General features: G+C 38.1%; 1 long non-coding RNA gene across 19 annotated transcripts in view, besides 4 other annotated features; it reads left to right on the plus strand.

Annotated features, from left to right (window-relative positions):
• Positions 177-837: an enhancer, noted in NCBI's record as "OCT4-NANOG-H3K27ac-H3K4me1 hESC enhancer chr3:6531628-6532288 (GRCh37/hg19 assembly coordinates)". NCBI's record gives its function as "activates a minimal SCP1, AML or CMV promoter by ChIP-STARR-seq in primed H9 embryonic stem cells {active_cell/tissue: H9 hESC(primed)}" and the evidence as "EXISTENCE:reporter gene assay evidence [ECO:0000049][PMID:30033119]".
• Positions 177-1,648: a biological region, named in NCBI's record as "CDK7 strongly-dependent group 2 enhancer GRCh37_chr3:6531900-6533099".
• Positions 449-1,648: an enhancer, noted in NCBI's record as "CDK7 strongly-dependent group 2 enhancer chr3:6531900-6533099 (GRCh37/hg19 assembly coordinates)". NCBI's record gives its function as "activates an origin of replication core promoter dependent on BRD2, BRD4, P300/CBP, MED14 and CDK7 cofactors, with strong dependence on CDK7, by STARR-seq in HCT116 cells {active_cell/tissue: HCT116}" and the evidence as "EXISTENCE:reporter gene assay evidence [ECO:0000049][PMID:35650434]".
• The window catches only part of LOC105376944 (uncharacterized), a 246,298-nt gene continuing 220,527 nt past the window's right edge, over positions 678-26,448 (plus strand). For 8 of the 19 annotated variants that reach the window (NR_188711.1, NR_188704.1, NR_188706.1 and 5 more), the window contains exon 1: positions 18,017-18,188. This is a non-coding gene — a long non-coding RNA (uncharacterized LOC105376944). Of the gene's footprint in view, positions 909-960; positions 1,183-18,016; positions 18,194-26,448 lie in introns of those variants that run through there. The other 11 variants (NR_188696.1, NR_188698.1, NR_188697.1 and 8 more) reach the window with 4 other exon arrangements.
• Positions 838-1,496: an enhancer, noted in NCBI's record as "OCT4-NANOG-H3K27ac-H3K4me1 hESC enhancer chr3:6532289-6532947 (GRCh37/hg19 assembly coordinates)". NCBI's record gives its function as "activates a minimal SCP1, AML or CMV promoter by ChIP-STARR-seq in naive and primed H9 embryonic stem cells {active_cell/tissue: H9 hESC(naive and primed)}" and the evidence as "EXISTENCE:reporter gene assay evidence [ECO:0000049][PMID:30033119]".

Raw genomic sequence — 26,448 nt, forward strand, 5'->3', positions numbered from 1 at the left:
TTTAAGCACTTCTCTGTATTGGTTATTCTAGTTAGTCATTCTTCGAAATTTTTTTGAAAGCTTTCAACTTCTTTGCCTTTGGTTTGAATGTCCTCCTGTAGCTCAGAGTAATTTGGTCGTCTGAAGCCTTCTTCTCTCAGCTTGTCAAAGTCATTCTCCATCCAGCTTTGTTCTGTTGCTGTTGAGGAACTGCGTTCCTTTGGAGGAGGAGAGGCACTCTGCTTTTTAGAGTTTCCAGTTTTTCTGTTCTGTTTTTTCCCTATCTTTGTGGTTTTATCTACTTTTGGTCTTTGATGATGGTGATGTACAGATGGGTTTTTGGTGTGGATGTCCTTTCTGTTTGTTAGTTTTCTTTCTAACAGACAGGACCCTCAGCTGCAGGTCTGTTGGAGTACCCTGCCGTGTGAGGTGTCAGTGTGCTCCTGCTGGGGGGTGCCTCCCTATTAGGCTGCTGGGGGGTCTGGGGTCAGGGACCCACTTGAGGAGGCAGTCTGCCCGTTCTCAGATCTCCTGCTGCGTGCTGGGAGAACCACTGCTCTCTTCAAAGCTGTCAGACAGGGACATTTAAGTCTGCAGAGGTTACTGCTGTCTTTTTGTTTGTCTGTGCCCTGCCCCCAGAGGTGGAGCCTACAGAGGCAGGCAGGCCTCCTTGAGCTGTGGTGGGCTCCACCCAGTTGGAGCTTCCTGGCTGCTTTGTTTACCTCAGCAAGCCTGGGCAATGGCGGGCGCCCCTCCCCCAGCCTCGCTGCCGCCTTGCAGTTTGATCTCAGACTGCTGTGCTAGCAATCAGCGAGACTCCCTGGGGTAGGACCCTCCGAGCCAGGTGCGGGAGATAGTCTCCTGGTGCGAGGATTTTTAAGCCGGTCGGAAAAGCGCAGTATTCGGGTGGGAGTGACCCGATTTTCCAGGTGAGTCCGTCACCCCTTTCTTTGACTCGGAAAGGGAACTCCCTGACCCCTTGCACTTCCGGAGTGAGGCAATGCCTCGCCCTGCTTCGGCTCGCGCACGGTGCGCGCACCCACTGGCCTGCGCCCACTGTCTGGCACTCCCTAGTGAGATGAACCCGGTACCTCAGATGGAAATGCAGAAATCACCCGTCTTCTGCGTCGCTCACGCTGGGAGCTGTAGAGCGGAGCTGTTCCTATTCGGCCATCTTGGCTCCTCCGGCTTACATTCTTGTATGTATGTATCTTCTGTCTTTTCTGCTCTCCAAGTTAGTTCTGAATATTTTCTGATGAGTTATTTTTAGTTCTTATATTCCTTTTATCAGCTACCTGCAGTTAAACTAATTTATGATCTATTAATTTCAGATATTATGATGTTTATTTCTCAATTTCCACTCGGATTTTTTAATACAGATTCTTAATTCTCCGTGAATTCCTATATTCTCCTCATCCATTTTCTTGAAATAATGACAGTGAGTTTTAATTAAAGTCTGATCACTACAATATCTGTATCATCTGTATTTCTATTTGTGTTCACTCTTGGTATCTCTTTCTGCATATATGTGTGTATATGTTATCCATTCATTCATTTATTTATTTGTGAAAATAAGCATATGTATGTTTTTACTTATTCAGTTAGTATGCCTGGTGTTTCTTAAATGCCAGATATTGGGTATAAAAATTATCAAGAATATGAATGACTTTTTTTCTTCCTCAAGAGAGAGAATTCACTTTATTCTCCAGAAGGCAGCAAGAGAATGGATTGCCTGAGTCCAGTAAGAATTGGGAAATTTTTAAACTGTATGGCAGTGTTTGTAAGTCTTACTTTTAATCTGAGCGTGTAATCCTCTAGATGTTCCAAATGTGAGCCTGGAGTATTTAGTAGGATTCTCCTCCTTGGTGGATAATTAATTACAATTTTTTTTGTACAATATTATGGTACTGCCAAAAAGTCTACCATGGCCACTTTCTACATGATTTCTTAACTTCTTTCTCTGTGTGGCTTAAAAATTAGCAAATGCCTCAGTATAAAAATATGTGTTCACTATTTGACTAACTTCTTTGTGCCCTCTTCTCTCTTTAATAAGTCCTTGGTTACCCTCATGTCTCTAAACTCTAGTTTTTGTCTTCTGCCCTAGAGTTCCTGGCAGCATTTTCAATCATTTCTTGCCTCTTAGAAGATGTGCATTGTTCTGTTTTTCAGCCACAGAACATAAATTCCCCAAAGAGAAAAGCAGCGTGTAGAAAGCTGGGCTCAACTCAGTGAGAGCCCCTTCTCTCCAGGGTTTGGCCCCCATGTGCTGGCTGCCTTACCAGCTCTTCAGTGCTTTCAGAGTCATTTCTATACTTTATACCACTTCCTTGATAGTTTTCATCGGGAAAATCAAAATGCTACAAGCTACATTATTATAACTGGAAGCAGAAATGTCCTACAAACAATATATTTAATTTTCAAGAACTATTTCTATTTCTCTGAATTCTTTAATTTCATGTTAACCTATGTTTTTTAGGTGGACAACATGATGTTGATACCACTAAAGACACTAGTTAGAATCTTACATTTTCTTCTGTCTCTTTCATTGCACCTATTTCCTCTTATACTTACTGTCCTCTGTATTCATTATCATCTTTCAATTTCATGCTTCAAATATTTGGTCATTTTTGGCTTATTATTTATGTCTATTTTTGTGGATAACTAGTCGAAGTTTTCTTTCCAAGTATGGAGGTCTATTTAGCTAAAAGACTACATTACTAAAAGGAAAGGCTACTGTGTTCTCTGTGTAAGTAGAAAGTCTAATCATTGGCAGGGTTGTCTTCATGGACATTGACTCTGCAGTAGGCAGGTCTATTCAAGATTCTTGTAATTGCCCAAGTAAGAAGTCTTTTTTCCTATGAAAAAAGACTTCTTAAACTTGGGCAAAAAAGACTTTTGCTCCTGGTTGGAGCTCCCTTTATTTTTTCTCTGAATCTCTTTTGCAGGTTTGGAGTTACTTTGGCTCACTTTACTCTCCACAGCTCCATTACTGACTCAGTAGATCTTTTCCAGAAAAATAATGTACTCCACTTGGAGAGCACTATGTTTAGGTCACCAGCTAGGAACAAATTCTACAGGCAGAGCAAGGAATTATTTCCCCAATTACATAAGGCAGGCCACAGAAAACCTGCAGGTAGTTCTCTAGGGAATCAACCTGAGACGTTTCTATCCGTCCCCTCTACACAGATGTCAGGTTTTATTTGGATGCTTTTTTTGGGCCCCATCTTGCAAATCATATAGGTATTCATGTATATATTCTCCATATTCTCGTGTGTGTGTGTGTGTGTGTGTGTGTGTGTGTGTGTGTGTGTGTGTTTCCATCTGCATAATTTCAGGTGTTTTTTCTTCCAAGTTACCTCAGTAGGTCAATTCAATCTAGTGTCACAAGTTGCACCTTTTGTTATATGATTACTCCTAATATTAAGAATCTATCACTTGTGATATCTAGATTTAAATCAGGGAAAAGAGCGAACAATGCATTTTCAATTTGTGGATGGAAAATAAAATATTACATATTTAACAATAAGTAGTTAAATTCAGGATGATATGTACTTAATACATTTATGTAGAAAGATAACTGAATAGCATTGAGGTCTCACCTAGACTACTAGTTTATGTTTAATTCTACTAGAAAAATCACATATAAGGTGGTCATAAATTCATATCATTAAACTAGAATTATAATATTTTCACACTTTGGACTCCTGTGATTATATACACAGCATATACATAAGTACAATTAGTTTGCTATAATGGATGATTTTCTAATTTTACTTGATGCACTAGTGAAACTTGCAGATGTCTTGCGTGCCATACATTCCATTTTATCTATACAATGTTTATTATATTTACTTTGTACAAAATATAAATGTAAATCCTTCTTTTATAGCATATTTATTTTTTTCTGCTGACTGTTTATTCACTGCATTTTCATTGCCAAGTTAATTAAATGAGTTACACATAATTGACTTTGGTGTTCAATGAGAATTAGAAAACATTTAAGAAGAAAGTTTATAAAATAACCAAAGACTTTTAAAAAGGGTACTGTGAGCAGAGTATCATGTGAAAAGTAATAACATATAAAGCAAACAGCTGTAATATATGAAACAAAATCTTGTTGTTAATTTAATTTCTGGATATGTCTAATTTATTACAAAACTGTATGAGTACCTACTAGGTGCATAGTACTTTACAAGGTAATATGGAAGCACTGTGAAATGAATAAAACAGAAATCCCTTCTTCACTCCCTCCCTTTAGAAGTACTGATCTAGGTGCTAGAGAAGAATAATGTGTAAGATACAGAAACAGAAAAATAAGTATGCAGCCTGAGTTTAGCATATGAGGATTTCCATAAAGATGAGCACAGGGTCCTAACATGGACCACAGCAGAAACATATAACCCAGCTCAGAGAGTCAGGGTGGGCTTCTCAGAGGTGACACATATACCCAAGGGAGCTCACATCCAAAGGGCTACAAAGAGATGTACACAGAATTCCTTAACTCACTTGTGCTTAACTACATTTGTATTTCCAATCCCCTCACAGAAATTTTCTGTGTCCTTATTCATTATTTGTATTATTATTAATATTATTATTATTTTGAGATGGAGTTTTGCTCTTTTTTGCCCAGGTTGGAGTGCAATGGCACAATCTCCGCTCACTGCAACCTCCGCTTCCCTGATTCATCAATTCTCCTGCCTCAGCCTCCCAAGTAGCTGGGATGACAGGCATGTGCCACCACACCTGGCTAATTTTGTATTTTTAGTAGAGATGGGGTTTCACCGTGTTGGCCAGGCTATTCTCCAACTCCTGAACTAAGGTGATCCGCCTGCCTCAGCCTGCCAAAGTGCTGGGATTACAGGCTTGAGCCACCATGCCCAGCTTTGTATTTTAAAATCACTGTTGGATAGTAGCACAAGTGTCGGTGGGCTCCATTTCATAGTCACACTGTCTTACATGAACTAGGCCTCTTTTGCCCCTGAGGGCTCAATTTTAGAAAAAAAACACAGTGATATAAAATTAGACATTTCTCATGAGGCTTTGATGAATGCAGTTGTGGGGCTAGCTAAACAGATCGGCTATGCTGGTTGCTTCTGTACTTGTGCTGAGGCTGAAGTCAGCAGGGTAGGCGGTTGGTGAGGAAGGGACAATGAAAAAAGAACAAGAGTGAGCATGAACAAACTGGAACCAACCAATGAGAGAGGCTGGAATCCATGGCCATCTCAAAGCACCACCAAACCTCCAACTTTGATGATCCAGGCCACCTGCAAGCGATGCTGGTTTCCTGTGTCATAGAACTAAATATTCACTGGCCTAGGAGGTGGAGATGCTAGAGAAGGAGACAGAATGGCTGGAGAAGCCCCATGCTGGGTAGATGCCCCAGAGGTAGTACTTGGTGACTTAGGATTTGGAGAAATGTGGAGGAGGAAATCCAGCATGTGCAGGGGCATGAGGGCTCAGCAGCTTCCCAAACCAACAGGACCCATAGGTCAGGGACAACTTGGGACAACTGGTGCCCTGCTCTGACTTTCAGATGACAAAGAATAAAGATGATGCTCTTCTCCCCCTACCCAATTCACACAAATTGTTTGTGGCCAGAACTATGCAGAGAAAGGGATTCAGGGAAACATAACCCTGATTCACTAACGTGACACAGTACTAATTCCTAAGAGCCACTCAAAAGCTCTCATTCACCTTAACTGGACTCCAAATACACACTCGTGTGCAGCTATGCCCAAGTTTTCTACTGTCTTATATTTCAAAGTCCAACCTGGTGTCCCTTACACCTGATAATCCAACAACAAAGATAAAAGTGTGAGATTTAGGGCAAGCCTGGGTTTTAGTCCTGACTTGGCCTCTTCCCCACTATGTGACCATAGCTATATTTCTTTTCCTCCCTAAGTCTTAGTTGCCTATTTGTAAAATGTGGTCAACTATGGCTTACCCCATGAGGCTGTTGTGAGGATTAAGTGGGATACTGCCGTAAAGCCCTGAATATTTTATCTAGTAAATCATAAGTGCCTCCGAAATGTTAGTGCCGTGGTGATACTGGGGGTATTGTTTCAGCAGATAACCTTCCCTCATATCTTAATAAACTGAGTTACTTCAAAATTGTTCCTCTGTACTGCAAAATTTTTCTTAACTCTACTCATTACCAACCATCTCACAGATAGAACATGTCGCTCTTTATTTCTAAAGGGAACTTCCTCCTGTGTTGTGTAATTCTCATTTCTCTACCTTTATTTATTTGTCTTATAAATATTGATTTATCGCATATTAAAATGTCAAGTAGGGACATTATATTGCTGAATGAAGTAGATGCTTCCTCCCCAATGTGCAGCTTAGAGATAACAAAGAAGAAAGCATGATATTTCCTATTTTGATAAGTTATATCAAGGAAATACATGGTACTGTGATAGAATATGATTTCTGGGCAGGCTGCTTCAGCGAATGTGATCAGAAAAGATCTTTTGAAGAAGAGCACATTTGAATGAGGCTCTAGGTGTGAGGAGCATCCAGGCCAAGGACAACGTAGACTGTATCCTGAATCTGACACTGACTTGATGAGTTCAGGGGCATTAATGGGGCATCTAATGAGGGGGCAGGGCCATGAGATGAGATTGCAGGTGAAGATGGAGCCAACCCATGTCTTGTAGGAATGGACGGAAGGCTTCAGTCCATCAAAGATCTCATTCTTACTAGGGCCTTCTCTTTTTTAAAATTGTCAATACTCAGGTACACAACATGATGTTTTGATATAATTACAAATAGTAAAATTTTGACTATAGTCAAGTACATTAACATATCTGTCATCTTGCATAGTTACCCTTGTGTGTATGTGGTAAGAGCCACTAAAAGCGACTCTCTTAGCAAATTTTCAGTATACAATATTATAATTATAATCCTCGTGTTATACATTAGATCTTTAGATGTATTTATCCTATATTTCTGCAGCTTTGTACCCTTTGACTTACATCTCTCATTTCTCCCATACCCTGCGCACATCTGTCAGCCCTGATAACCACTGTTTCATTCTCTTTTTTATGTAATTGGCTTTTTTTTTTTTTTAAGATTCTATATATAAGTGAGACTATGCAGTATTTTCCTTTCTGGGCCTGGCTTATTTCACTTAGCATGATGTTCTCCATGTTCACCCATACTGTTGCAAATGGCATGATCTTGTTCTTTTTTAAGGTTACTATTGTTTTTATTTTATCTTTTTCCACTGGACACTTCTCCTGATACACATAGTAGAGTTTTTCATTCCAATTTCTTAAAAATTATTTGATTCTGTTTCTTTTCTCAAACTGCTATGCTAACTGTTCCATTCCATTGAGGGCCAAACTTTTCAAAAGAAGTTTACAGTTGTTACTCCTCTCATTTATTGCCTAATCCATGGAGTCTGGGCATATTAGCCTTGTCTGTGTACTGAAAAATCTTTCTTGAACTCACAGTCCACTTGCTAAATCCACTGGACTTTACTTGTTATACATTTCTTTAGAATGATGCAGAAAAGGCCTTTGACAAAGTTCTACAACCCTTCATGCTAAAAACTCTCAGTAAATTAGGTATTGATAGTACGTATCTCAAAATAATAAGAGCTATCTATGACAAACCCACAGCCAATATCATACTGGTTGGGCAAAAACTGGAAGCATTCCCTTTGAAAACTGGCACAAGACAGGGATGCCCTCTCTCACCACTACTATTCAACATAGTGTTGGAAGTTCTGGCCAGGGCAATCAGGCAGGAGAAGGAAATAAAGGGCATTCAATTAGGAAAAGAGGAAGTCAAATTGTCCCTGTTTGCAGATGACATGACTGTGTATCTAGAAAACCCCATCATCTCAGCCCAAAATCTCCTTAAGCTGATAAGCAACTTCAGCAAAGTCTCAGGATACAAAATCAATGTACAAAAATCACAAGCATTCTTATACACCAATAACAGACTAACAGAGAGCCAAATCGTGAGGGAACCCCCATTCACAATTGCTTCAAAGAGAATAAAATACTTAGGAATCCAGCTTACAAGGGATGTGAAGGACCTCTTCAAGGAGAACTACAAACCACTGCTCAATGAAATAAAAGAGGATACAAACAAATGGAAGAACATTCCATGCTCATGGATAGGAAGAATCAATATCGTGAAAATGGCCATACTGCCCAGGGCAATTTATAGATTCAATGCCTTCCCTATCAAGCTACCAATGACTTTCTTCACAGAATTGGAAAAAACTACTTTAAAGTTCATATGGAACCAAAAAAGAGCCCGCATTGCTAAGTCAATCCTAACCAAAAGAACAAAGCTGGAGGCATCATGCTACTTGACTTCAAACTATACTACAAGGCTACAGTAACCAAAACAGCATGGTACTGGTACCAAAACAGAGATATAGAACAATGGAACAGAACAGAGCCCTCAGAAATAATGCCACGTATCTACAACTGTCTGATCTTTGACAAACCTGAGAAAAACAAGCAATGGGGAAAGGATTCCCTATTTAATAAATGGTTCTGGGAAAACTGGCTAGTCATACGTAGAAAGCTGAAACTGGATCCCTTCCTTACACCTTATACAAAAATCAATTCAAGATGGATTAAAGACTTAAATGTTAGACCTAAAACCATAAAAACCCTAGACGAAAACCTAGGCAATACCATTCAGGACATAGGCATGGGCAAGGACTTCATCTCTAAAACACCAAAAACAATGGCAACAAAAGCCAAAATTGATAAATGGGATCTAATTAAAGAGCTTCTGCACAGCAAAAGAAACTATCATCAGAGTGAACAGGCAACCTACAGAATGGGAGAAAATTTTTGCAATCTACTCATCTGACAAAGGGCTAATATCCAGAATCTACAATGAACTCAGACAAATTTATAAGAAAAAAACAAACAACCCCATCAAAAAGTGGGCAAAGGATATGAACAGATGCTTTTCAAAAGAAGACATTTATGCAGCCAAAAGACACATGAAAAAATGCTCATGATCACTGGACATCAGAGAAATGCAAATCAAAACCACAATGAGATACCATCTCACACCAGTTAGAATGGTGATAATTAAAGAGTCAGGAAACAACAGGTGCTGGAGAGGATGTGGAGAAATAGGAACACTTTTACACTGTTGGTGGGACTGTAAACTAGTTCAACCATTGTGGAAGTCAGTGTGGCGATTCCTCAGGGATCTAGAACCAGAAATACCATTTGACCCAGCCATCCCATTACTGGGTATATACCCAAAGGATTATAAATCATGCTGCTATAAGGACACATGCACACATATGTTTATTGTGGCACTATTCACAATAGCAAAGACTTGGAACCAACCGAAATGTCCAACAATGATAGACTGGATTAAGAAAATGTGGCACATATACACCATGGAATACTATGCAGCCATGAAAAATGATGAGTTTATGTCCTTTGTAGGGACATGGATAAAGCTGGAAACCATCATTCTCAGCAAACTATCGCAAGGACAAAAAACCAAACACCGCATATTCTCACTCATAGGTGGGAAATTGAACAATGAGAACACATGGACACAGGAAGGGGAACATCACACACCGGGGCCTGTTGTGGGGTGGGGGGATGGGGGAGGGATAGCATTAGGAGATATACCCAATGTTAAATGACGAGTTAATGGGTGCAGCACACCAACGTGGCACATTATACATCTGTGACAAACCTGCACATTGTGCACATGTACCCTAAAACTTAAAATATGATAATAATAAAAAGAGTTTGCGGTTTGCTGTTGTGTCACTATTCTAAAGGAAACTTCCCCTTAGCTTTCAACGTCCTCTGGTCTGTCTCCTTTGAGTCAAATTTTTGCTTCTCTTCCCTAAGTATAGACATTTCCCAAGTCTGTGTTCTTGCTCACCTTTTCTACTCTTTCCTTATGTTCTTCTTTGTCTGCATCATCAAATGCTATGGCTTCAACTATTATCTTTGCCTGGATAGTCACAAATCTGGATTTCTAGTCTTGATAATTCTCTTGCAATGTCATATCTCATTTCTAGAGCTGACTGGCTAGCTTAACTGGAAGTCACTCAGGCACTGCCAACTAAAAATATGAAGAGGTAGATCATTATGTTTTCTACAAGAATACGTCTTGGTTTCTTATTTTTATTTATAGGGATGTTACCATCTGAAGATGTATAGCTATCTTTAACTTCTTTTGTTTTCCCTCTTCTATATTCCTCACACGCAGCTTATCACCTTTCTTTAAATGCATGAGAAAAGCAAACCATCTTCCATTTTCTCCTGTATTTTTCCACCACAAAGTCTTCTAACCTTCCCTGCATTGTGCTCATCTTTTTTCTTCCACCTGTTACAACCTCTGCAACCACTTTCCTACACTGGTTATCTTTCCTCTCTTCTGAACCTTCCCTCTATCTCCTGGATCATTTCCATCCAAATCCAAAAGGCTTTCACCTCCTCCATCTAGAAAAGCAATAATAAATGACAAAACGTCAACAAAAACAAAATATATCCTTCCCTTGATCACACCTATCTTTTCTGCATCTGTCCTATTTCTCTAGCCTTTATTTAAAGTGTAACTTCTAGAGCTAGTTCTCTCTACAAACATGTCTCCAGTTCTTCATTTCCATTCACCCTCATCTTGTTAAAGTCTAGCTTTTGTCTCAAACTCCGTTGAACTGCTTTTGTCAAAACCCAATGACCTTCATGTGGTTGGTTATTGCCCTCACCCTACTCCTACCTTGTTGTTTACTTGGGACGCTTACATTGTGTTTTCCTTTTGGTAACAACCGCTTCCTTTTGCCTCTGGGACATTCCTTTGGATTCTTGGTTTTCCTGTTATCACTTTAGCTGGTGCGTATTAGGATTCAACAGTTATTGTTGTCAATATGTTTTTCATCATCTAGAAGTTTAGCACTTGATAATGCAACAAAAAAAATACCCTCAATATTTCCATAAAAGATTAACACAAGATTTCTAAGTCTATAATATATTTTCTCCCAGTAGGGGGTCATGTTTGAATATAAAGTCTTTTCTGTGCTGATATTCAGTTGAGGCAGATGATGAAAGAGCTCAGTTGGGGGCATCAGGGAATTCATAAACCTGTGATAGAATCAAAGACTTGTTTAAGGCAGATGCAGTACATGGAAAAGTCATTAATGCCTTCAAAATGTAAGTTAAAAGTTATGAGTAATAAGAAATTCTTAAAGTCCTCTAGACAGTATGCTGAAATTTAGCATTCAGCAGTATTGTTGTACCTATTTTTTCCTTAGGGTGGCTTCTCATCCTTTTTTATTAACTCATGCATTGAAGGTATTTCTGAGCTCCTTACATGATAAGAACCTCAAAGAAAAATAGTCAATCTCTGTTAGACATAAAGTTGGCAGGAGTTATTTTTCCATTTCCCTCTAAGCCTTTCCGTTTAAGAAGTTGTTTGAGTACAAAGCTAAGTTTCTTTTCTACTTGCTACAATTGTTCTATCTCACCATTACTTTCTGCTATCATAATGCCTACTTTTAACAACACAAATTTGCTTTGTTTTTCAACCAAACACTATGTAATGAAAACAGCTGACTGGGGAAAGATAATTTGCAGAATTATTGCTTAAGTTCACATTTTGACAAATAACTGTCTCACTCCTCTGAGTCTCCCATTTTTTTTCCTCTTTCATCCGATTAAAAATTATTTGATTTATTACTTCCAGACAAAAGATAAATCGTATTTCCTGGTGTACTTTTAAATCAAAACTAAATAAGACAAAGTAGTTTAATAATATTTTATTCCAGACTTACTTATCTCCATAACCTTTAGCTTAGCCCTGTCAGGAGTGATATGTCAATGATATCCTTTCATACAGTATTTATTCCCTGTAATTTCCCATCTTCTTTTATTTGTGGAAAGTGACAAAAAATGCCAAAGAAAATGTCCAATGAATCCCACTGTGATTCAATCTTCCAGTTGCTATTTGATTTATTCTCTTTAATTCACATTTTATTATAGTACCTATCCTCTCCCTGATTACCATTAAAAGTGGAACAAAATCATAACTTCTTGTCTTGACATTGAAGAATTTTTAAAATTTAATAATACCAATAGTGAATACTGTTTTATTTTTCTGCCCAGCCTCCTTCTTTTCTTCTATTACTAATACTGTAAAGTATTCCCTTTGGGATACTAATTTTCTTCATCTTTCAGCCAATGTAGTAACCAAACTCAGTTGACTTTGCTACCAGCTTCTGGGTGCATATGTGACTCAGGCTTGGCCCATCAAAACATCACATTCTCGGGTCTCAATGTTTATTCTAGGAATGGGTAAAAGATTCAATCAGAACTTATCAAAACCAACTGTGAGACTTTTGGAGGAGAGATTACTCTCTTCATCCCTGAACTTGGGTTTTGAAATGTAAACCTTGAAGCTTTTACTAGACATCTTATCATCATGAGGGGAAAAATTATGTTTAAGAATGAGACCAATAGAGAGAAAAGCAGATAACAGAGATAAGTAGAAACAAGGCTTGGTTTTGATGACATTCACTTAGTTTCTTGATCAAGCCATGCCTGAAAGTGCAAAACTCTGAATTTTTTTCTTTACATGAGGTAATATATTCTCTCTGTGTATCTTTTTTTATTTCAGTTTTTACTAAATTTCTACCAATTCCTACGAAAAGTATTAACTCAGCACATATCCAATCATTCATATCTCAAAATTCTTCTCCATGAAATACTTGTTTTTGAAATGTTTAAAACATTTTTAAACACATCATTGACTTCTCTAACTGAAATATTCTATCATTATGAGATTTTCCTTTCATTTTGGATTATTTATTGTGCTTTTGGATTATTTATTTTCTTCCTGAATTCCTGCTACCTAAATTTAAGATGCAAATAAATTTACATTATAAAAGTTATTTATGTTGTATAGTCTTATAAGATCCCTCTAACATTGTTATTAGCTATCACTTACATACTGAGCTATTGGACAGCATTTATAACTTGTACTGATTCCAACACTATCATATATGCTGTTTAACTACCGTATCTTTTATTTTGTTCTATCCTCTGTTATGAGGAGGAATGCCTTACCTAGAAAAGCTCGGTGAACATACTTCAGCCTGTAAAAGTATATGCATGAAATGCGTTCATTGGTGGGAGATTCTAAACCAGAAATTTCAAACTTAAATACTCCCAGGGACCAGGCAACATAAAAGTGTAAAGTTAACATCAGACCATAGGTGCTAAGCTCTTGTACTATGTCCAGCCTCAACAGTGGCTTAGTTACATTGACCTTTCAAACCGATTGCCCCTTAAAATATGAAAGCTGTGTGCCAGCCAACCACAATGGCCAAACCAAACACAGTGCTTACCTAATGTAGCCGCTGGGCTGATGGCCAACATCTTGGTTGAAGGCATCCATTACTCCTCTAGATTTCAGCTGTGAATGCTGCACTTTTAATGTTGTTTGTGTCCTTACACCCCCTATACACAGACATACACACACACACACACACACACACAAACAGTCACTATGTGATGGAATTGATACATTAATTGATTTGATTGTGGTAATCATTTCACATTGTATTCTTATGTCAAATCGTTACACTGTATATCTTCAACATGTCGAATTTTAATTTGTCAATTATGCCTCAGTAAAGTTGAAAAAAATATTTTTTAGACACGCAACTTCTACCCCAGATAATTAGTAATATCATATCATGAGTGTCCATCCCACTGTAGAAATAGTTTACATCTTCTATACATCTAAAGGGTCAATCATAACTAAAAATGTTTTTATGTGAGGGATTATTAAATAATTTAACTTGCAAAGAATTTAAAATAGACTTGTTATATTAAAACAAGCATGGATATATTATAAAGTAGATTATAATTTTTATAGGAATTTACATGAACAAATTTAAGCAGACTCGTTTTTTTTTTTTTTTTTTTTTTGAGACAGAGTCTCGCTCTGTCACCCAGGCTGGAGTGCAGTGGTGCAATATCGGCTCACTGAAAGCTCCGCCTCCCGGGCTCACGCCATTCTCCTGCCTCAGCCTCCCGAGTAGCTGGGACTACAGGCGCCCCCCACCACGCCCGGCTAATTTTTTGTATTTTTAGTAGAGATGGGGTGTCACCGTGTTAGCTGGGATGGTCCCGATCTCCTGACCTCGTGTTCTGCCCGCCTCAGCCTCCCAAAGTTCTGGGATTACAGGCATGAACCACCGTACCCGGCTTAAGCAGACTCTTAAACCTAATTCCTCATTAAAAAAAGTCTGTACCTCCTTTCTCCCAATAAAACAAAACATCCAATCAAACTAAAAGAAGTTACTAAGCATGCATGTTCTCCTCTCTCTATCTATTAGGCTCTTATGGTGAAACTATTGAGAAACACTATTCTAAAATGATTTCTTTTCCTAGGACATTTCAAAAGTATGCAGATATTTATGGAATTAGAAGCTCTGTCTAATTTATTTTTTAAAACCATTGCTATCTCTAGTCAGTTCAACAAACAAGTATTGTTTGTCTCCCCTATACCAAAAACTGTGTTAAATGCTGAAGAATTACAATATAAACAGCTCCTGGAACTGGAGAAATAACAGTTGCTTGGGGGAAGGGAAGAAGTGAACTTAGTAGACTTGTTCCCATCTTGGGTTTAACGTTCACATTTTTACTTACACAGAAGATACTATACTGGGAAGTTCATGTCAAGGAAGGCCTTTACAGTCTGGCTGAGGCTTAGGTTTGAATTTTATGCATGGCTAGTCATTGAATGTAGTTGACCTCCCACTGTTAATAGCTCTCTCCTGCCATAATTTATTGTATTTCGTGAGTAAAATGAGGTGCTTTGGGGCATTATTGAATGTGATGATTGCAGAGGTCTCAGAATATATCCATCAAAAATGTCAGGGGTTTTCTCTACAGAGATTTGATGAGCAGTTTGAATACTTTAAGGACATTTCTGACTTTTAGAGATTTATATAGTCTTAAAAAGTATGAATGTTTCTCTCCCCATGAAAAATGAGAAAAGCTGAAGTCCCATCTACCCAACTCCTGCAGTGTATTTATTTTTGTCTAAATATCAGTAAGTTTTCCCCAAGGTGTTAGATTTTTTTTAATAGCCTGGGGGAACATGTCTTAAAATCCTGCTGCCTGTGGTTTGAGAAGCTACCTCACCTGGCTCAGTCTTCATTTGCAGTTGCGGCTGGTTCTGGTCTAGGTTTCCACAGTTGTACATACGTATGTGTTTATTAAATGAAGAAATAAAATGAATCTTCTTTATGTGGGAAAATCCTTACTGTGATCATTCCAGTGGTGAGAATGGGGTACAGATTCCCAGGAATTCTGAGGCTTTACTGATAAATATTAATTAAGCTCCAGACAGATCAATTGAATGCCTGCCATGTGTCGTGGACTATGAAAGAGGCAATGAGATTTATACATAAGATGCAGTCATTCCCACACCAGTCAGAATGGCTTTTGTCACAAAGTCAGATAATAACAGATGCTGGCCAGGTTGCAAAGAAAAGAGAATGCTTATACACTGTTGGGAGGGTAAATTCATTCAACCATTGTGTAAGACACTATGGTGATTCCTTAAAGATTTAAAAACAGAAATACCATTCGATCCAGTAATCCCATTACTGGGTATATACCTCCAAAATATAAATTGTTCTCTTATAAAGACACACACACATGTATGTTCACCGCAGCACTATTCACAACAGCAAAGACATGGAATCAACCTAAATGCCTGCCAATGATAGACTAGATAAAGAACATGTGGTACATTATACTATGGAATACTATGTAGCCATAAAAAAGAGCAAGATCACCTCCTTTGCAGGGACATGGAAGGAGCTGGAGGCCATTATCCTTAGCAAACTAATGCATGAACATAAATCCAAATACCTCATATTCTCACTCGTAAGTGGGAGCTAAAAGATGAGAACACATGGACACATAGAGGGGAACAGCACACACTGGGGCCTATAGAGGGTGGAGGGTGGGAGGAGAGAGAGGATCAGGAAAAGTAACCAATGGGTACTGGGCTTAATACGTGAGTGATGAAATAATCTGTACAACAAACCCCCATAACACAAGTTTAGCTATGTAACAAACCTGCACATGTACCCCTGAACTTAAAATAAAGTTTAGGGAAAAAGAAACATAAAACCATGCAGTCATGCTTCCCAAGGAATGAATGGATAGGTGTGACCATCCACAATGCTATGTGCAATCTTACTGCTTTTACTAGGGAATTTTTCTTACCTGTCTTGCCCAAGGGTTTGAAAAATTTTCTCAGTACATAAAGTTTGAAGGACGGGGCATTGCAATTATGAGCTAACTTTAAATCTCAACTCTGTCATTTTGTAAGCCATTTTTAAACCTTTGTGATCCTGTTTCCTTATCAGTAAGCTGGTGATGATTATGGCAGCAGTATCATAAGAATAAAATTGATAGGCCAGGCACGGTGATCAAGCCTGTAATCCCAGCACTTTGGGAGGCCAAGGCGGGTGGATCATGTGGTCAGGAGATTGAGACCATCCTAGCTAACACAGTGAAACCCCATATCTACTAAAAATACAAAAAATTAGCAGGGCGTGGTGGCAGGTGCCTGTAGTCCTTGCTACTTGGGAGGCTGAGGCGGGAGAATGGCGTGAACCTGGGAGGCAGAGCATGCAGTGAGCTGAGATCGTGCCACTGCACTCCAGCCTGGGTGACAGAAGGAGACTCCATCTCAAAAAAAAAGAAAAAAAGAATAAAATTGATAATAATTAAATATAAAATATGAAAGTAAAAGATCTCATTAAGTGCTTGGCACTTAGTAGGGAAAATGCATCAATCTCGCTCATTTTCTTTGATAGTCTTGTTTAAAATCACGGAATGAACTGTTAAAATAATAGATCACAGATACTTTTTTGATAGGGTTAAATACTATTTCCACACTATTCCTCAATTCACATACCACAGTATAAATAAAGACCATTTTAACTCTAAATAGTATATATATTGAAAATACTGTATTTACCCATTTGAGCTTTGTACCTACTACCACTTTCTCATTCTGCTCAGGGTCAGTTTATTGGTCCTGTCTTTGTTGTACCTGGATGGATGCTGTCTGCTTTGGATTTAATACTTTCTCTATTTTGATTGAAAATAAATTGCCACTCAAGCACCATTTATAGATAGGAACCTAATAACCTCAAAAACTGTACATTTATTTTAGTTACTCCCTGTGGACTCCCATAGCACATTCTTGATAGCACTGGTATACTCTGAACATTATATTTCTTAAAAATATCATTAACTGGTGTTTCTGAGTAAGTAAATAACATAAGGCCACTGTAAAATGAGATAAGGAAGATACAATAATATAAATATATATGTAAAAGGATGTTTACAGTGCTGGGTGTAGGGGCGAAACAAAAGGGAAAACATTGAAAGCAAGTTAAATATCTGTGAATAGGGAAATTATTGAAACCACTGCGGTTCATTCATACAATGGAACATGGAAAGCATCACAATACGGTGACTTTCCTGTGTTGATGGTGTAGCTCCCAGGCTATAAGAATTCCCCACCTGTAGTAACAGCCATTAAATTCATTTTTTTGGGTGATTATTAAAATTAATGAGTTAAATCTATTATCTTTTGACCTGGAATAATGTCCACAAAAGTGAGAGAAGCATGCTGCATAAAAACATAAAAACAAAGCAAAGAATCCTTTATATTTCATAAATGATTGTAGAGGTTTGTATTAGAATGATAAAAGGTATAGAAATATACACAGCAGAATGTTAAATTGGTTGGTGGGCATGAAGAGGAGGTAGAGACGGTAAGGAGATATAGAGTTTTTTAAAATATGAAAAAAAAACGAAGCTTAACTTTCTTGGTCAATAAAAGTGAAGAAACTTAATTAATTAATTAATTTTTTTTTTTGAGACGGAGTCTCGCTCGGTCGCCCAGGCGGGAGTGCAGTGGCGCCATCTCGGCTCAGTGCAAGCTCCGCCCCCCGGGTTCCCGCCATTCTCCCGCCTCAGCCTCCCGAGTAGCTGGGACTACAGGCGCCCGCCATCACGCCCGGCTGCTTTTTTTGTTTTAGTAGAGAGGAGGTTTCACCGTGTTAGCCAGGATGGTCTCAATCTCCTGACCTCGTGATCCGCCCGCCTCGGCCTCTCAAAGTGCTGGGATTACACGCGTGAGCCACCGCGCCTGGCCTGAAGAAAGTTAAGTTCAATTTTGAGTTTTTTTCATACGTATAAAGCTGTGATATTTAGATGGAAAAAGACAAAATACAAACAACAGAAACTCCAGACTTTATTTGGTAAAGGGGTCGTAAGCGATTGTTGTCTAGAATTAATTATTTAACTATTTTTGGAATGGTGTTTTGCATTATTTAGAAAGAGAAAAAAGTATAAAAAATAAAATACATATAATCTAACAATTCCATTATAAACACCGACCGCACTGCTTATTTCCTTCCCATTGGTCAGTTGTTTGCTTCCTTCTTTCCTTCCTTCTCAGTTCCGCTCCTTTTTCCCCTTCTTTTCCTTTCCTTTCTTTTCTCCCCGTTTGTGTTCATTTCCTTTTCTCTTCTCCTTCTTTTCTTCATCTATCTACTTACTTTTGTAATATTATATGGGTATAATGGAAACATTTTAATATAATGTTTAATATCTTTTAAAATAGGATTCTGTGTTGCCACTATATTCCCATTATATGGAGACACCCTAAGTTGTTAACCTTCTTTGGTTTGAACATTGGCTTCTATCATTTGGTAGTGAATTTCTGTCGTTTTGCATATGACCATGATTATCCTCAAGACAGAGTGACAGTCTAATTTATCTTTGGGTTTTGTCTTTGTCCTTCCAAAATAGTAACAGCACACGCTAAGTACTCAGTGTTAGTTTTTCTGACTAAAGAAATAAGTTTGCTTGTTTCCTGCTTTGAATGTTAACTGTATCTGACATGAAGATCAGTTATGGAATTCACCAGTTAGCATTGTGTTTACATGTTTACATGTATTTACATCTATTAAGAACAGTGCTTTTCGGAAGAAAGTAATATTCCTCTGCTTTAATTAAACATATGCATGTTTTCAGTAAAGAATAATGTTTCTGTTTCTTTAAGTATACCTTAATATTATAGGCCTTATATTTTACCAGAAGGACCCGATTTAAAGCAAAAGTTGAATGCTCTGTAACCTATAATCAGCCCACACACAGTCTATCAAAATAGCAAAATATCATTTCTTTCCTATAGAAATATATAAGCTTCTAATTTACAAATCTGTATGTTTATGTTATCAACATGAACTTGTATCTCATCTTTCTGTTTATGGGTGCGTGTTTCTTACATTCACCATTTTTACTGAAACGCAAGTGGCAACTCTTATTTGCCAAGAAAAGATGACAAAAAATAAAGAAATGCTTTCACAATAAAGGGAGAATTTGCAGTAGCAGAAAATTATTAGCTGAGAAAAAATGTTAAAATAAGCTTATTACTTGAGCCATGCTTTTTACTATGAAAGTGAAAAGTTAGAAATCATTATTTTAAAACTTTCACAAGGAATAAAACGTTTATGCATATAGTCAGGGATTTGAGGTCTGAATTATTCAGAGTATTTATCTGTATAGTTCATATTCCATGGATATTGGCTCAAATCTCTATTTTGCCTGATAAAGATTTCATTTTCAGTTTGACCACATTGAACTGGGTACTAAGCATTCAAAAGGTTGTTACATCTCATTTTTTGCAGAAAAAGAATGAAATAATGGAAAACTTATTGACATACATAATAAGTGCAAACCAAAGACTGTGTAGGCATTATTATGTAAAAAGTTCATGCCCAGAGAGAAATTAGAGCAGGATACAGTTCCTCAGGGCAAGGAACTGCTAACTATACACCCAGCTCTGTGACATTTAGCATTCTGTGGCCAGCCAAAAATAATAATGTTAGTAAGTGTATTGCCAGTTTTAATTAAGTCGCAAGTGAAATATTTGTCATTCCAGTTTCTCAGAACTTTTGTGCTGTGTATATGTTTCCATTGTTTATTGTTTTATGATTCTTCTGTAGATTGGTGAATGGAAATACCTGAAATTGCAAGATTAGTCCGGCTGCAATGATATAATGCATACGTCTATACTTTATAAAATGCAGAGTGTTGTAAACATTTAGACATTGTCACTTCTTATCATTGCGTGTATCATGCAAGTATATAATCCAGATATTGTGGAAAGTCCCAAGCCAACATCTGTAGTCATTTTAAATGTATGGAGACTATTAACACTTCCAAATGTCATTCCCTCTGGATGAGACACAAATCACTTAAAAAGAACCAGTGACTACTTAATACCCCAGCGAAAAACAAAGACAATGAGTACAACTTTTCTGTGTGCATCAGTTTACCATTGTTTCCAAAGCTAATAGAAAGATCCTCAAATGCATACTTTTACATACTAATATGTTGCATTTCACACTATAAACCAGACCCAGCATATCTGTTTAAGCATCAGGTGCTTTATCTAATCCAAGTATACTTAATTACTTAAATTGTAATTAATTCAAAAAATGATGTGAATAAGCAGGAAAATATTCAAGAATTTACATATTCTCCATTTCAGCGACCGTTAGCCAAACTCAGATTTAGCTGACAAGCTTATCCCAGTTTTTGTTCTCTCCCTCTTTCTTAGTATCTTCCATTAAGTTTCTTGAAACTTATTAATCTCATCAGTAGGAGACCATATCAGTCTTCTTACTTATTAACTAACATGGGTCAACTTCAAAGTTAACTTTTGCTAGATTCTATAATCTAAACTTGATGTAAAGAACAAAAATAAGGCTTTCTATATTTATAGCCCACTTATTTTCAGTTTGGAGAAACATGGAGAACCGTTCAGAAACCAATGGTCAGCTAATTGTGCAAACACTAAACTTTTCAAAAGAAAACTTACTTAGGAAAGAAAATAAATGTTTAAGAAACTAAATTGGATAAATATATAACATTTTTCCAGGTATTTAACTATAATAGTTTCTCTACATATCTTTTCCTGTGAATTTTCTTTGGAAAGCTGACTTTAAGTACACAAAATTAAGATGAATTGTTCATCTTCAGTTAACACGATAGTATTTTGTCTCAGACTCATGAACTGACAAAGAAAGCAGATAATCCTAGGTTGATTTACAGAGCAACAGCTATCTTTGCAACCAGAGGGTTAGAAGTGAAAAGGAAAAAAAATCTTATCTTAAATAATAAGACTCCCTACATATTTGCAGAATAAATAAAAATGAAATATCTACAGAGAGGACCTAAATTCCCAGCCACAATATCCATATTTTTGGATATCATTCTGCTGTTGATACTATCTGTAGTCTTTCCACACTTGCTTAGCTTGTCATCAGTTTCCTTCAATAGTTTGAAACCTGCTTCAGAGACAGATGTGTACCAATGGAGGCATGATTACATGTGAGAGGCTGGACTGTGAATAGCAGAAAAAATACAGGGGCAGAGACAAATAAATATTTTTTGTTATAGTCGCAAACCAAGTGGATGGTGCCCAATTCGTAATGCTGTTGGTCATGATTTTGATTTTATTAATATAGGACCAGATTTCTAGGTGTATGTTGTATTCTTTGTCCAGGCTAGAGAGTAAAGAAAAGGAAGTAGGGTAATTCCCTATTTCTTTTTCTTTATTTTTTAAGTTGTATTGATATATAACAGTTGTACGTATTTTGAGGGTACATGTGACATTTTGATACCTGTATACGTTGTGTAATGATCAAATTAGGGTGATTTGGATATCTATCACCTCAAACATTTGTCTTTTCTTTGTCTTGGGAACATTACAATTCTTCTGGCTGTTTTGAAATATAAAATAAGCTATTGTTAACTATAACCTCACTAATATACTATTGAACACTAGAACTTATTTTTTCTATCTAATTGTGTTTTTGTACTGATGAACTAATTTCTTTTCATCCAACTTCCCTTCTTCTTTGTCTTCTACCGATCCTAAGTCTAATTTGACCACTTTTCTGCCGGTCCTGTATTTAAAAAAGAAGGAACTCAAGAAGTATCAAAAGAAGGAGTGTTCAAGTGGAAAACACTGAAGTAGATTTTACTTGCTCAGCATCCCACGGATTTGGGGGAGATTTTTGTGTCCATTGCTTACCTTCAGGTGGCCAGCAAAGCCAACCAGTGGAATGAATTTAACATGTCCACAACTCTGGAAGAAAAGCTGTTGTACAATGTGCAGTGGGTACAGGTGCACACAGTCTACCGCCATGGAGTATAAATATAAAACAGAATTTATTGTGAGGAAAAACCTAGAAGCAGAAAAGCACTACAGAGGTTCCCCCGAGGTCTCATTATTCCACACAAAAATGTGCTTAGGCTGGGTGTGGTTGAGCTGGATATAGCACGGAAGTTTCCAACACAGGGCTCCTATTCCTTCAAGCCCCTCAGATTTAAAGGGAACAGGGCGGTAGGACACATCTCTTTGATGCTGTAACAATGGTAATTTATAGCTAAGGAAGTGGCTTCCTTGGTAAAAAGCCTCTGGATCTCTATGACAAGTCCTAGTCTGATCTGCTGATGTGGCTCAGACATGCAGAGTCCACCCACTGCTTGCCCAACAAAATGGGGAGGACTGAAGCTTCCCATGCCATCTGGATGTGTCTGTCTTCACAGGTCCAACTCTTTGGCACCTTCTATTGTACTGAGGAATAAAGCTTTAATTTAGAGCATGTCTCAGTCAACAAGGCACCTGTGTAAACAGCCCCCTGCTCAAAAGGCTGCTGTCTGGACTCTCTCCACAAACACTCAGAGGCTCCAGCCAGCAAGGGAAAGCCACCCTGTACAGTTTGGAAGACAGCTCTTTGAAAACCCATTGTGGATGTCACAGTGATGCATTGCCTTATCTTAGGGATGGAGCTCTGCCGAGGACAACCAGTTGCTGAGAGGCAAAGCTCATCATTTTGAAGGGCTAGGTGAAGGCCCATTTAATTTCCTCCAGGAGAAAATGTCACCACCACCATTGGTAAGCACAGGGGATGCAGAGTGAAATTTGGCTACATCTTCATACAGAGTTGCTCCTAGAAGAGAAAGACATGATTTATGACTGAAGAGCCAGTATTTTCCCCTAGGAAATTTATTTCATTTATGAATAAAAAAAGGGAAAGATATTTAAACAAGAAATTTCCTAGTTTTGTTGATGATCTGAAAACCTCCCCTGCCACTTCGGCTGTAATAAAAAAAAAAGTAAACTGAATTCACAACAACTGGTGATTTCTATGCCAGTGACTGAGAAGCAGAGAGATTAATATCTCCCCAAACAAAATTCACTAATGATGCTTCTCTCCCCAAAAGAGTGAGTATTACTTGGTTTCTAGATAACACATTTTATTTCACATTTCTTAATGCCCAGTGAGTTTCAGGTAAACACACACATAAACACACACACACACACACACACATGCACACATCTTACATAAAATTATATTTATTAAGTGCCCTCAAGTCAACTTCTTTTTACTTTGGAACATCACAAAACTTATTTTATGAGGCACATCTTTTGGTACACCAGATGTTTTTGAACTAAACAGGTTTATTTATTTATTTTATTATTATTTTTATTTATTATTATTATTTTTTTGAGATGGAATCTTGCTCTGTTGCCAGGCTGGAGTGCAGTAGCACTATCTTGGCTCACTGCAGCCTCCGCCTCCCAGGTTCAAACGATTCTCCTGCCTCAGCCTCCCAAGCAGCTCTGACTACAGGCGTGCACCACACCCAGCTAAGTTTTGTATTTTTAGTAGAGATGGGGTTTCACCATGTTGGCCAGGATGGTCTCAATCTCTTGACCTCATGATCCACTCACCTCGGCCTCCCAAAGTGCCAGGATTACAGATGTGAGCCACTGTGCCTGGCCTATTTATTTATATTTTTTGAGTCAGGGTCTCACTCTTTCACCCAGGCTGGAGTTAAGTGGTGCGATCACGGCTCACTGCAGCCCTCACCTCCCTGGGCTTAGGTGATCTTCCGACCTTAGACTCCTGAGTAACTGGGCCTACAAGCAAGCCTGGTTAATTTTTCTGTTTTTTGTAGAGACAGGGTTTTGCCATGTTGCCCAGGCTAGTCTCTAACTTCTAAGCTCACGTGATCTACCCTTCTCAGCTCCCAAAGGCCTGGCATTACAGGCGTGAGCCACCACACCTGACCCTAAACAAGTTTATTAAAATAAGTGGAAAATAAACAACTGCCTTTTTTTTTTGGTTAAGTAATGATTTGATAGGCAATTACAATGTTTTATAAAGATGCTCTGGATAAATATGTTTTTAATTTGAAACACAATCACATAAACTCTACATCTGTCAAGAAAATATTTTTCTTCGTGTCATTTTCTACAGCATTGCAGCCAGCACAGGACACATAAAATGTGGAAATATAAACCCTATACCAACCTCATGGTGGTGTTACAGGAACTCATTAATACCTTTGTCTTACAATTGCCTTTGCATTGCTTAGTTGATGCTAGCTACTATGATTATTATTACTCTTTTCCAAAATTTTCATGTATTGCACTTTTTATCTTTTCTTAATTAAATGTCGTGTTATTGTATTTGTTTTATTCATCCCAGCTTACACGATGTATTTTGAATTACTGCACCCAATCTCTTTATATCTCTCCCAATCCATGCTATATTCCCATTTGATGAGCTTTGCATAAAGGTGATGTTGAACAAGACAGGCCTTATGATAGAGCTCTGGAAGTTACCTAGAAGCCTCCTTTATCCCTACCTGAGTATTTAGCATTACTTTTGAAGGGTGGCAGAAGATGCCACCCTACACACTATGCCCCTTTGACATGAGAATTAATTTGAGCTAAACGCACTTGAAAAACAGCCGATGCAATAAAGGCATTCTCATCCACCCTCTTATTTCCCCCTGAAAACAGGAGATAAAAACTTGCATGTGAAAGATGCCCTCCCTCTACCAGGAGAAAAGAAATATTCTTCATTAAAGAGTCATAGATGAGAGAATTCTGTACAAACAGAACTTGCCCAAATAATTCTTATCTTTCTTTAGCCTCTTCACATAATTTACTTTCTTTTCCACAATTACCTCTCTTTGTTCAACCTAATACTAAAGAATTCAGATTGTACAACTTCTTTGAGTCTTCATTTCCTTATGAGGGCTCCTGTGTCACATAAAGCTTATGTTATATTTACAAGCTTTTTTTCCTGTTAATCTGTGTTATGTCAGTTTCATTCTCAGGCCCACCCCAAAATCCTAAGAGGGTAGAAGTAAAATTTTGCTTCTCCTACACTTCAACAAATTCATTCAACATGTCATTAATTCATCTACCCATCTGCATTCTTCTCCATGCTGTAAGATCTCACCATGTCAATAAGGAAATCATGAAAACACTATCAAATATACATGCACTGAGGCTGTGGCATTCTTCTGATCTACATTTTTTTTTTTTTAGACGGAGTCTCGCTCTGTCGTCCAGGCTAGAGTGCAGTGGCGCGATCTTGGCTCACTGCAAGCTCCGCCTCCCAGGTTCACGCCATTCTCCTGCCTCAGCCTCCCTAGTAGCTGAGACTCCAGGTGCCCGCCACCATGCCCGGCTAATGTTTTGTATTTTTTTTTTTTTTTAGTAGAGACAGGGTTTCACCGTGTTAGCCAGGATGGTCTCAATCCCCTGACCTCGTGATCCACCCGCCTCGGCCTCCCAAAGTGCTGGGATTATAGGTGTGAGCCACTGCGCCGGCCCTGATCTACATTTTAATAACTCTACTCGCAAAAACAAAACTAAATTAAAATCAAGCAAATAAAAGGTAGGGAGACATATGCTTGAAGCAAGATATATAAAAACCAAAGATAAGTCAGTGCAGGAATTTTAATTCAGTTCAACAGACATTCATTGCATTCTAGAAGGTGGCACACCTCAGTATGAGCAGCCCACTCAAGTCTTAATCCTTCTGAGGCCCCCTTTGTGGGCCTAGGTCCATCTGTTACACTTTCTATGAAATATCTGGCGTCAAGTTGGATTTGATGATGTTACTTTGTAATAACATTCTGTCTACATCACTTCCTCTTGTTATCCAGGAGCACTTGGCAACTCCCACTATATTTTTTCAGCACCCCCACTCTCCTTTCCTGTGTATTCATGCCCTTAACAGACATAGGAGGTTAACTATTTCAGAAGGAATTGTACCAAGCATCAGGTGGGCAGAGTCTCTATGAATTCCTGCTTTGAATCCTTGCTGAGCCAGTTTTCAATAGGAAGATAATATTTCGTATTGTTCAGATTAGTACAATCAAGCCATGGCAATAATGGAGACGCTTAGAAAATGGGGGCTAGGTAAATTTAGCAATAGGCTCAGTTATATTTTGTCCAGGTAATAAGTGGCTCTTTTGAAATAAGACAAAGCTGATCACTTCATTATTTGATTAGATTCTTCTAATTGTGCCCAGGTGA

The sequence above is a fragment of the Homo sapiens genome, chromosome 3 (assembly GCF_000001405.40).
Source record: "Homo sapiens chromosome 3, GRCh38.p14 Primary Assembly".
Lineage (NCBI taxonomy): Eukaryota > Metazoa > Chordata > Mammalia > Primates > Hominidae > Homo > Homo sapiens.